Source organism: Homo sapiens, chromosome 14 (assembly GCF_000001405.40).
Source record: "Homo sapiens chromosome 14, GRCh38.p14 Primary Assembly".
NCBI lineage: Eukaryota > Metazoa > Chordata > Mammalia > Primates > Hominidae > Homo > Homo sapiens.
In genome coordinates this window covers 44,762,780-44,776,294 of record NC_000014.9, presented here as the reverse complement: position 1 = coordinate 44,776,294, position 13,515 = coordinate 44,762,780, and the positions used below count along the sequence as shown (strand labels likewise).

Sequence of the window (13,515 nt, the reverse complement as noted above, 5' to 3'; positions counted from 1 at the left end):
TTGGGAACTTCTTCAAAGCAGGCCTACCTCATCTGTTTCCTTCTCTTGTGCGTGTGGACTCTTCCATATGATGAAAGCAGCAGGTATGCTCAGTATGGCCTTCAGATTTGATCATTTAAAAAATTATATATTTTTCATTTTTATAGATTTAGGTGGTACAAGTTCAGATTTATTATATGGATATATTGCTTAATGGCGAAGTCTAGGCTTTTAGTATAACCATCACCCAAATTATGTACACTATATCCATTTGGTAATTTCTTATCCCTCACTTTCCTCCTCCCCCAACCTTTTCAAATCTCCAGAGTCTATTATTCCACTTTCTATGTCCATGGGTACACATTATTTAGCTCCCACTTGTAAGTGAGAACATGGGTTTCAAGATTGTAGAGGGCTGTGCACTTGGAAACCCAAATGTGTACTTTATAGAGTTCTTTTTTGAGAACGTGTCTTGCTCTGTCACCCAGGCTGGAGTGCAGTGGTGCAATCTCGGCTCACTGCAGCCTCTGCCTCCTGGGTTCAAGTAATTCTCCTGCCTCAGCCTCCTTGGTAGCTGGGATTACAGGCACCAACCACCACGCCTGGCTAATTTTTGTATTTTTAGACAGACGGGGTTTCACCATGTTGGCCAGGCTGGCCTTTAACTCCCGACCTCAGTGATCCCACCTTGGCCTCCCAAAGTGCTGGGATTATAGGCATGTGCAACTGCGCCTGGCCTAAATATGTACTTTGTGTGGATAGCCTATGGGTAGGCTGTAAGCCTACAGGTAGGCTAAATCATTGAAATAATGGTGAGCTAGTTAATAGTCCAAATATTCATTTGAGTGAGTCAAGTTGTGTCTCCTAAGGAATGTTTGCTTTGGAGAGCTATGCCTCTATTAAGCATTGAGTCAATCAATATTCCAAATAAAGTGGAAAAAGGCCACACCAGGATAGTGTGAGATTTTGAGAAGTGGCATGTTGATCAATTGCAGTTCTTCTGACAGGGTAAATGTGAGAACTCCCACCACAGCATCTAGTAGAGGCGATGGGATCACTTCTGATTAAAAAGGAGGACTAAAAGACTTATAAGGAAATTTGATCATTTTGACTTGAATAGAAATTCTACATCAAACAAGCAATTTAAAAATATCTCTTAAGTGCTTTGATTTTAAAAATGCTTTAGCATTTTTTTCTGTTTGATCTCAGCTTATCTTGTATGGTGGGAGACAGAGCAGTATGATTTTAAGTCTTGACTCTGTCGTTAGGTCACAGTGTGACTTCGGGAAAGACTGCAAACTTCTCCATGCTCTCCAGGCTTCTTCATTCATGAAATTATGGAGTTGTGCTAAATGATTTCTAAGACAGTATTCGACTTGAAACTCTTTGATCATATCTTGTATAAATGGAATAGTCTCACATTTCTGATTATTTGAAAATAGCACTCAATTGGATTTAAAACAAAAAATAAACAAATGTGAACATTTAAAAAATTTCTATGCTATTGCTATTATTTTAATTTTGAGGCTCATTTTAAATTTTTGCCTTAGTCTTTCAGAAGCCTAAGACTGGCTGTTAAATAGTTCTTCTAATTAGTATGAATGGTTCTTGCATTTAAAATCCTTGTCCTATGTTTGATAAGATCAAAATTAGACTGAATAATATGCCTTGGTTGAACATTAGCATGCAAACCATGTAACTTGAAAAGATGTGTTTAAGAGCTGAGAATAAAGCAGAAGCCAGCACGTCCTGACAGCTGTGAGAAACACAAAAAATATTAATGGTGGCAGTTAGAGAGTCAGACAGAGAATAGCAATGCACAGGTGCGTTTTCCCTAGTGCATATATTTCTTCTTTAGTATTCATGCTAAGTTTTCAATACCTTCATCTTTACACAGGAATTAGAAAACAGTTCAGACTTATTAGTTTGGCTGATCAATAGCCTAGGACAGCTAAAAGAACAATGCCTAAAGGGGTATATATATTTGTAATAAAGTAGTCTTCTATGATAATGCTTTAAATATCAGCATAATGCCATTTTTCTTTTTAAATAAAGTCATCATCATAACAGTTTTATGGTTCTCTTAATTTTACTACTAACATCTTATCTGAAGGGAGTGAAAAATTATATTAATTGCAGGCTGTTCTACTTGTCTCACCAGCACTATCTTTTAGTACAAGTTTCCAATATCTATCTCTCAACATTTTGACTGTAAAGGTTAAGGTGCCACTTACGGTTTAGGATAATTATGTGAAGAAACTTTTCAGTCAATATAGAAACCCATCACTTCAAAGTAACAAAATGCATAGAAATAGGAAACATGAATTTCCACTTTAATAAATTTGAGCACATGATCACATTGAATCTTTCAGCATATTCCTCAAAAACCCCAAACAAACCAGAAATAGATAACTGAAGTACTCTGTTCTCAGAGTTATCAGTGATATTGTGCATCTCTGAAGTTCACTGTCAATAAACAATGTGAAACATTTGGGTCTTGGGTGCCTATATGGATCTCTACTTTATCCTCAAACTTTCACAAGTCAACTACTGGAAGAAAAATGATCCAAGTGGTGTCATGCTGCCTTAGACACATGAATAGTAGAATTCAGCCAAGCCACTGAAGGAAATTTTCTTTTCTTTCTCTACGAAATTCAGAAAGAAAACTTGTATTTAGTTTTCCTAAATTTATACTTTAGGGAAAAATGTCAGTCCTCAAATCATGCTTTATAATTGCAACCAAATATCTTAAGATATATATAAAAATACATATTTAGAATTAAATGAGCTCTAATTTTTTTTTTTTTTTTTTGAGATGGAGTCTCGCACTGTCGCCCAGGCTGGAGTGCAGTGGCGCCATCTTGGCTCACTGCAAGCTCCGCCTCCCGAGTTCACGCCATTCTCCTGCCTCAGCCTCCAGAGTAGCTGGGACTACCGGTGCCCGCCACCACGCCCTGCTAATTTTTTGTATTTTTAGTAGAGACGGGGTTTCACCATGTTAGCCAGGATGGTCTCCATCTCCTGACCTCGTGATCCGCCCGCCTCGGCCTCCCAAAGTAGAGCCCTAGTTTTTAAGTGTAACTGAGCTTTAATTTTTAATTCTGTAATTTTAAGACTATTAAATGCTATTTAAAAGATCTCAGCTTGAGCATGGTGATAGTCTAATAACAGCAAGATGGATGATGTTGGTTGGTTAAGATGGCATCATATGATACCTTTGGAGTTTATCCTCTTGGGATTAGCATATTTTATAATTCTGGAGAAAAAAACGTATCTTCCTTGAAGACACAATGTTTTTCTTGCTTCTTTTTTGAAGCTATCTCCCACTCTCCCACCCATGCCCGACATTTCTCTTTCTCTAACAATTATGTTCTTGAAGTTCTGAAGTTTATCCTTGCCTGTTTGTAATGTAGTGATACAGAGTAATACAACTTCACCAGTTTCCTAATTGCCAGATGTGATGTGTCAAGTGAGACTTGAGATTGGCTATAAGATCAGTAATGAGTGCATATGCACATGCACACATAATTTTAAAAATAACAAAATTGTTCCCAATCTGTTTGAATTGATTTTGAGTATCAGGTTTCAAATGAGATCATGTTGTTTGTTACACAGCAAACTCTATATTGACAACCCATATTACTAAGTTTTAAGCTCTATTCTTAGGAAAGCAGATATTAGCTCATTGACTAGGATTTTTTCTTTGATATAAATATTTTGATCCAGTTATGTTTTTTTCCAAATCTAAAAATCTTTCTTTTAGTTGTTTCCAATTTGAAATGGTACCTTCATTATCACCTTTTCTTTTTCACCTTTTCATGACTTTTTTTCTTTTTAACTCTGCCAAAGTGGTACTCAGCATAAGATTCATTATTTTTCTGATTTAAAACCACTGATGGATGTGCTCACACTTTTCCCTGCCTTCTTCCTGAATAATAAAACCTTGAGGAATTTCAGAACACAGGTTTTTAAATAATTTTTTTTTACTGGATAAATTTATCTGGATTTTTGAGCAGTATGTTGAATATTATAAAAGTATTTATATGTGATATAGAAAACAGATGCCAGTTCTTCTGTACTTCAAAATTATTTTTTCAATCAAAACTAGTTCTGCAACCTTACTGATCCCATGGTGATACATTGTTAAGACAGTAAAAACAAATGGGTAGATTGCACTGAAGACTTTTCATTTAAGATATATGGTATGAGCTCAAGTACCAGTAATTGGGGCTGCTATAGCCACAAAGGTCTCCTTGATAGCACAGCAGGTAATTGATTTCCTGGGTTACTCAGGAGCCATGAAAATCAAATCTTTGTGTCTGTTTTGATTTCACCACAGCTAGATCTCGTATCTTCATTAGTCCTTTATCTGAACAAATAAAATTAGTTCAATTTCTCAGTCCCAGATTAGCTCCTGGAATATAATGAACCTCACTTTTTTGATAGGACATAGAATCCATAGCTACTAGCCTGACTATGGGAAGCAGTCTCTACAGTTTCTGACTCTGAAATCCTGTATTTGATTAAAAAAATCAGACCCATGAGGTGCATACTTTATGGAGTCTTCAGGCACTTGACTTTGCTTTCTCATTCCTAAATGCAAGTCAAGTCAGTTTCACTTGTCTAGCTAGTCTTACAACATTCTAGAGTTTAGATTAAAGATAAGAACAAAATGGAAGGCTGTTTTACAGAGTATTTGTTGTATGTCTGTAGAAGGAGAAGATTGTGTAGGAGAGAGAAGAGAAAACTGTAGGCTTGTGGATGTGAAGTGCATCTATAACGATGAGCAATGGGGAAATGTAGAAGGCTGTAACTTATTAATGGGAACATATTGTATAAAAATACATTCTGACCACAGGAGATAGCACTATAAACCTATTAGAACAGCTAAAATAAAAGATAGTGATGATACCAAATATAGATAATAATGTGGAGAAACTACATCTCTCATATATTGCTGGTTGGAATGTAAAATAGTACAGCCACTCTGGAAAATAATATGACAGTTTCTTACAAAGCTAAACATGCACTTACCATATGGTCCAGCAATTGCACTCTTGGGCATTTATCCCAGGGAAATGAAAACCTATGTTTACACAAAAATGTATTGATGAATTTTCATAGCAGTTTTATTTGTAATAGTAAAAACTGGAAACAACCCAAATATCCTTCAGAGATTTAATGATTAAACAAACTCTGGCACATCCATACAATGAAATACCACTCAGCAATAAAAGGAACAGATTACTGATACAGGCAACAACCTGGATGGATATCAAGGTATTATTCTTAGTGAAAAAGGTCAATCTCAAAAGGTTAGGTTGATATGATTACAATTTATATAATTATGGAGGCGGAGAACAGACTAGTTGTTCCAGGGAATAGGATAGGGAAAATGTGTGGTGGATGGGTGGTACAAATATAAATGGGTAGCATGAAGCAGTTCCTTTGTGCTGATAGAACAGATTTGTACTTTGGTTGTAGCAGTGGTTTCATGAATCTATACGTGGGAAAAATTTTGTAGAATTATACATACGCACACAAACACACATAAACATATGAATGTAAAAATGGTGAAAATAAATTCTGTAGTCTAGATAATAGTGTAGCTGACAGCATTTTACCAATGTCGATTTCCTGGTTTTGATATTGTAGTACAGTTTTATAAGATGTCACTTTTGGGGGAAATTAGTTTAAGGGTGCAAGGGAGCCTATGAACAAGTTTTATAACTTCCTTTTTGTTATTTTAAAATGAACAGTTAAAAAAAACAACAACACCCGGTTTGTTTCTGTTTTAATGTTGCTTGTCGAAGATCTCCCTCCCTCTATAGTATACACACTTAGTATGTCTTTGGTCATTTACAGTGTATTTTGCTCTCTTTTGGAGGATTATAGTCACTCGTAATTATGTGAGAAAAATGCCACTGGTTGTCAGCACCAAATCAAGATGTCAAAAGTATGCTGAACTGAAACATAGAGTAAGCACCACACTGAGGAGAGGAGAAGCAACTCTCTTCACTGGGCTCTATAAAGCTGCATCTCACATCTGTACCATACTGGATTAGTGGACAAAGGAGTGGGTATATGTACTCTCTTGTTCTATGGATGGAACACAGCACATAGAGTATGAATTTCCTGTGTTTAGAACAGTGATGATCTGTGCGTAGAAAGAGAACAAGAGTCTTTTTTTTTTTTAATTATTATACTTTAAGTTCTGGGATACATGTGCATAACATGCAGGTTTGTTACATAGGTATACATGTGCCATGGTGGTTTGCTGCACCCATCAACCCATCATCTACATTAGGTATTTCTCTAATGCTATCTCTCCCCTAGCCCTTCACCCCCTGACAGGCCCCGGTGTGTGATGTTCCCCTCCCTGTGTCCATGTGTTCTCACTGAAGAACAAGAGTTTTAATGGCAATCCATATTGTAGGGGAAAGAAACATGCAAGAAAATAGTGTAAGATTAAAGTTAGCCAAGAGAAGCAAGCAGGTCTTTAATGTTCGTTTAGAGAGGAAAGGGATTATCTTGAAAGCAGGAGGATGAAATAGCAAGGTAAGCATAGGAACATTCTGATGGACATGAACTATAAGTAGAAACCTAATAACCAAATGAACTTGGACTCAGTGCTTTCATTCCCTGTTGTGTAATAACCACCTTAACAAGCTGGAAGCCCCATCAGACAAGATACTGGATTCAATCAACAATGATTTCCTAATTATTTTGGCTCTCAGTATGTCTCCAGTGTTTTCAGATTGTTAAAAATCCAGTAGTCCCCCCCGAGGCTGCACACATGAGTACCCCTACCTTGTTTCTTTTTGTGGGCAATTGTGTGTTCCATCAAGTAAGACAGGTATTGGTTATATATGACAAAGTATGGCTAATTTCTTTTTTACAAGCAAATAAATAATTTTGCAGCTCATTTGGCTGATCATTTCTCTGATTTGTTCGACCTTTGCTGTGCTTTTTTATCAGCTGGTTTTCTCAGACCTCATTTCCCCCTGCAAAGCTCCAGTAACCAAATGAATTTCTGGACCCGTCAATCTGATGCCATGACATGTTAAAATGGGATTCATCAGAAGAATTTCATTATGTTTTTGTTAGAACAGTTGTCAGAAATCTTTCATTCCTGCTCTCTAGACCCACTGCATGACAGGTGACTGATACACATGTGAAGGAAGTGTAAGTTTTAAGTTGAGATGCCAGTTGAGTCAGAAGCTTCCTACATATAATATCCTTTGCAGAAAAGATTTTCCAGTGGCCAACTGTGGGTGATTAAACTTGAGATCTTCACCTTTTGAAAAATTAACCTAGGTGTGAAAGTACTTACTATCAGTTTAAACATTAAATGTATGTTTAATGTTGAAATTGTAAGTGGAAAACACATAAAATTGAAAGTGGAAAATAGCGTTTGCAAAGAGGAGTTTAGTATGATTGCCATTTGCCTTATGAATAATCTTTCATTGAAGCAATTAACCTGCAAAATAGAATCTGAACCAGGAAAAAGGAGGGGGGGATCTTTATTGCATCAGATGCAAATAGTTCTAAGCATATTCTTTCCCTACCTTAACATTCCCTCAGCTTGACTAAACTTTAAACAGGCTTCTTACTGACCATAGGTTCCTGTTCTCCCTCTTCTTAAAACATTTGCTCAGAAAACTTATAAATTCTTTCTCTGTCCCTTTGATATGTAAATCTTCTACAATCCAGAAATATTTTTCTCAAGGACCTAGGACACTTTGAAATTTAATCATCAAGAAAGCTAGAATTCTTGTCTAGCTGTGGGAGGGTAGGAGCCTAACTTCTATAAGCAACAATTAGTAAACACAGATGGCCTAATCATGTTGACCAACAGCTCCACTAATGTCTGTCAGAACTTTTCCGTTAGCTCGCTCCAGCATTTACAAATCCTCCTGCCTTTTGTTTCAGTGGAGTTGAGTTCAATTTTTCTCCCCTGTTATAATAGTCTCTCTCTCCTATTGCAGTCATCTTGAATAAATCTTCCTTGACTGTTTAAGTGGTTCAGTACAATTTTTTAAAAAAATTTATCCCAGATAATTTCTTTGACTTTATTTTTAACTTCTACAGATATCTTTGGATATATTTTAAGAATGGAAAGTTTGTGCATTTGGTTTACCTAGTTTTGACTCTGTTTCACAATTTTTTTTTTTTTAATTTTATAGACGAGGTTTTGCCATGTTGCCCAAGCTGATCTCGAACTTCTTGGCTCAAGTGATCTGCCTGCCTTCCAAAGTGCTGGGATTACAGGCATGAGCCACCAAGCGCAGCCATGATTTATTAGATCACTTCTAAAAGCCGTAAGTGTCATTTAGGGGCTAAGGCCCTGCCCTCCTCCCTTTTTAAAGAAAATAAGTAATTTGAGGGTCAACCCTAGGCAAAATGATGTAGCATAGTCCTTTCCTATCAGCATGTCCCTCTCTCTGGTTTCCAGATAACAATCAACTTCCTGGGGGTGAAAGGCGCTCCTTGCAGAGCTGAGTCAACAAAACCAGTAGTAGCAGCTTCTGCTCTGTTCTGAACTTGATCCCCTGCCCTTACTTTTGATATTTGGTTGTATATCTCATTACTGATATAGTTTTGACCAAAGAATGGCCTTCTGCCTTTTACAGAGTGTATCTACCACTGACTTCTCTGGCTCCTAGGGCAGAGTTACAGCCCACTGCCCACAAAACTTGAAGATATTGATCTGGTCTGTCCTCACGAGTCAGTAAATATTAAGTTTAATTGTTTCAGAGAGCAGTAGTGGCTGCTCATCTCGAAGAACCAGGGCCTTGGCTGATAATCACTAACCACTTACTTTTCTTTGATAGGGTTGATATTTTGGGTCAGGGAACCAAGTTCAACATATCTTTAAATTATATCGTGTAGTAAGCAGCATCCTCATAAAACTAGGCAAGGGTGCATACAGCCCTCTGTCACAAGGGTCATGAGACACAAAGTCTCATGTAAAAGACAATAGTTTTAAGCCATTCTAATAGGTGCCTGATAAAGTGTATTCTTAACAACTACCTTGGCTATAAAGTGCTGTACCCAGCAGTTAGATTGGACAGGCCTGAGTCTTTTAAATTCCTGTCTCCTCTGCTCATTTGCCTCTGCCATTTACTGCCTTTGGCTATTGTATCCTGACCCTTCACTGGGCATCCAAAGGCTTCTGTTCTGATACCTGGGTAATGATATGGCTTTATTCCTCAATTCCATCCTTGCCTCTTAGTTTGAGTTTGACATTTGGTCTTAAATTGAGTTTGACATTTGCTAAAACTTTTGCAAAAATGACCTTACTATGGCCACTATTTTGGCCTCACCACCACTTGCCCTAGAAAACCCTGGAATTCAGTCATTTTGTAAGACAATAATTTTTATTAAATTATTATGATTTTAAAGATGAAGCCCAGAATGAAGTCAGAAAAAAATAGCTATCTGTATTGCTAAATGACATCAACACATCAACGGATGCTAATTGGGAAATAAGTCCACATGTAGTTATATAGCATGATATCCCAGATTCACAAAGTCTGTGGCCATAAAATATGATTACACTTACTTTTAATAACCAAATTATGGTAGTTAGAAACCTTACTGACAAGTTGCCCCCAATTAGCCGCTTCCTAATGCCCACTAGTTACTTCTATGAGACCCTGAGACATCCACAGTCCAGTGTGCCATTTGGGGAAGGCTTCCCACCGACTGTGCCTATTTTCAGAATGCCAATATCCATGTCAAGAATGGTGTCTCAAAGTGCTTCCTTGGCATGCCAGAGAATCCCTGGATGCTCTGTTGAGGTGGGAAGTCTAACTTCTTTCTTCTTTTCTGCTGACTGTCACACTTTGTTGCCTGGGCCTAGAAATGCTCTCTTAAACAGTTCTCCATATAAGCCCCTTAGCTATAATCTTCACAAATCTCATATGAAAAAAATGCTCTACCTGTTCCCAGTGGTCTTCATTTTTTCCTCTTTTCCAGCTCTCTCCATCTCCAAGCCAGCAAGTGCTTCTTTGCACCCCAGCTCTAAAACAAAGCCCTTGGGGACACAATCAAAGACAGTAGTTGCCAAGAGGAATAGGGAGCATGGAAAGAAGGTGAGATATTGTTGGCCTTAACAGCATCTGGGCTCCCACTCAGTGAGACAAAAATGCTTGATAAGCTAACAAAAAGGGATTTGGTAAAATGTAATCCTTCACCTGAGTGAAGACCTTTTCCTCTCTTTTATTTTCAACTCTCCTTGGTTGCCCTGTCCCACTGATTTCTGCCAGGAAATGGGCTAAAAGCTATCACCTGGCAACTCTAGGAGAGGTGGATGTCAGGGAAATGGATTTACCAGGTCTCTGGATCTCTGAAGCCGGGGGCACAGTGCACTTCAAAGATCAGACTGTTAGTGGATGCTATTGATGTGATTTTGCTGCTACCTTTGCTCATGAAAAGAGATGAGCCAGTCGGGAAAAAGGCAAGAACAAGAAATTAAGGGGGAGAAAACCAATAGGAGTAGAGAAGTCTGAGAGATCTGCCTGAAGCAGGTGCCTCTCAAAACAAAATGAAGCATTTTTTTTTTTTTTGTAGGTAATCTGAAACAACATAACTTGAATCATGTTAGTTTGTTTTTTTTCTACCCTGCTTAGGAAGGTTGGATGGTCAGGGAAGCTGCATTAAATCCTGTTTTCACAGGTGCTGGATGTGCATACAGCTAACCTGGTAACTCCAAACTGGATGAGCTCATTCCTTGAGACTGGAATTACAAAATTGGAACAGCTCACTAATAATTGAAGATGATTTGGGAAAACCATTATCCTTCCTCAGGTTTTACAAGGTTTTTATGACTCATTTATAAGGTCCTACAGCTAAAAAAAATCATGCTGTATTTCAGAGAAGTTTAACTTGAAAATATTTTTTTCACTAATTAAAAATTCCCATTATACCTTATAGTTGCAATTGTATCCTTATTGCTGAAAGATATCCATACTACCTACCACTTCTTTAAAATTTAAAAAATTCTATAAATAAAAAATATAACAATTGCAAATATGTAAATAACTTCCAACATAAAACAAAATTTATAGTAATTATAAGAAGTTCTTTTATACTAAAAATTAAGTTGTAATTATGATAGAAATAATCTGTAAAAGGTATTTTTAGCAAAATTTATTAATACGGGTAGCAATAATAATACCCAATTATATATGCATATTGTTTGTATTTTAGAACCTGTGACAAATGAAAATGGTTTTCCTAGATAAGAACGAAACTGTGTTGGGTGGCTAACAAGATTGAAACTCATCTGACTTTGAGAAATAAATCAATTTGGTTTGTTTATTTACAATCGTTATTTTTCCTTTTACCAATACCTAAGTTATTTCACTGTAAAACTTTCATAGAAGAATTTCAGGAAAGGCTTGTATTTACGTGTTATAGATGAGGTACACCACAGTGATTTAGATCAGCAGTCCCCAACCGTTTTGGCACCAGGGACCAGTTTCATGGAAGACAATTTTTCCACAGATCAGGGGTGGGCAGAGTTTGGGGGAATGGTTTCTGGATGATTCAAGCGGATTACATTTGTTGTGCACCATATTTCTATTATTATTATTGCATTGTAATATGTAACAAAATAGTTATACAACTCCATAATGTAGACTCAGTGGGAGCCCTGAGCTTGTTTTCCTGCAACTAGACGGTCCCATCTGAGGGTGATGGGAGACAGTGACACCAAAGTGTGCTGCTTATGTCCAGTCTACTTCGTAATCTCATTTTGATTGCTGTCACTGCAGAAAACCCTGTAACATTCTCAAAATTCTATTCTCTCTAGGGTAAAATTAAACTGCGGGACATAGCGCAGAAGACTTGTCACAATTTAGGACCAACCTACCAAGACTTCTTGATCTCTTTCCACTTCTTGCCCCTCACTGTGTTTGATTTCTGCCTTCCAGTCTGAACTTCTCACTATATTCCAGAAAAGGCCTGTTAAAGAGATCTGGTAGTCAAAAGCAACCTCTTTTTTGCTTGTGCTCTCTGTTATACATAAGAAACCAGTCCTGCTGCAGCTCCATATTTGCATTACTAATTTAATCAGTTAGCGGGACACATGCTCTTTATAACCCAAAAAATTGAAGCATGAAATTTGGGAGTCATACCCATCACCCAAATGTGGCATAACAATGTTCTTCTTCCCCGCAAAGCAGTGTCCTTCCCCAAAGAAATTCTGGGGATTGGCATTTTCTTCATCCACTCCTTTCATTATTTCCTTTACCTATTTCTCTGAGTCTATTAGCATCCTTGGAGGGGGGAATGTATCTTATTTATTGTTATATCTCCCAGGCTCACACATCACTCAATAAAGGTTTGTTGAATGAAACAATAAATGGATGCAAGACTAAATGAACAAAGAAAAGCCACGGGGAAGATAACAATGTTATGTCATAATTCAGGATCATCTTTTTCTGTTTTTTCCCCTCCAGCTTTATTGAGGTATAATTGACAAATAAAAATTATATATATTCAAGGTGTCCAACAAGATGTTTTGATATACATATACATTGTGAAATGATTACCACAATCAAACTAATTAGCATGTCCATTACCTCACATAATTACCTTTTTTATGTGTGCTGAGAATACTTAAGATTTGCTTTCTTAGCAAATTTTAAGTATACAATACATTATGATTAACTATAGTCATCATACTTTACAGTAAGTCTCCAGAACTTACTTCATCTGCAGGTTTGTACTCTGACCAACATCATCTTATTTCACTCCCCACCCCACTTTCAGCACTGGTAACCACATTTCTATTCTAAGCCTTCTGGTGAAATTTCTTTCTTATTTCACTCCCAGTGAGTAACACAAGAGAAAAATAAACAACAAAAGCCAGTCAATAATTATAAAGTGAATCTTACCAGTATAGAGTTATAAGCCTTGTTTTTACTTCACTGATAATGTTGTCGTGAACACTGTTTGAATAATGAAGACTAAAGGAATGATGGCATGCACTGTGAGTTCTTGATGTGGTTGAAGCAAAATTCCCAACAAACAGACATTTTGCTATTTCATTAGTGTTTATGGCTGATAAATACCTTGTATGTTTGCTATACTATTGTGTTAGTAACATAATTTTATTTTTATGTAACACTAACAATAAATAGATAAAAGCAAAATTGGGAGGCCTAAAATTTTAATTTCAAGTTGTTGTTTGGAAAAAAAATTACATTTTGTTTTTAAGTAACTGACTTTGAGCTCCAAGGATTTAATTCAGTAAATTGTCTCTCAGGATGCATGAATATATAAGCAGATTAACTGATGGGCAGTGAAATGCAATTACCAAATGAGTTTTCAAAATTTTTCTCTAATGCATCCCTGGAGTAGATTTTGTATTTTAACAGAGACATTTACCAGGCACATGCTGACATTTTAAGTGATCTGAAATAAATAAAAAGCAGGACAGTCCTAAAATAAATTAGTTTATAATATTTTGTTAATTAGGATGTTAGTTGGGTACTTTTAGATCAAAATAAAAATGGCTTAAATAAA

At 36.8% G+C, this 13,515-nt stretch overlaps 1 long non-coding RNA gene across 1 annotated transcript in view; it reads left to right on the top strand.

Annotated features, from left to right (window-relative positions):
- The window catches only part of LINC02302 (long intergenic non-protein coding RNA 2302), a 35,970-nt gene extending 22,832 nt beyond the window's left edge, over window positions 1-13,138 (top strand). Inside the window, exons 3-5 of the long non-coding RNA NR_146457.1 lie at window positions 8,166-8,300; window positions 9,961-10,076; window positions 11,798-13,138. This is a non-coding gene — a long non-coding RNA (long intergenic non-protein coding RNA 2302). The remainder of the gene's footprint in view (window positions 1-8,165; window positions 8,301-9,960; window positions 10,077-11,797) is intronic.
- Window positions 13,139-13,515: the final 377 nt, after the last annotated feature.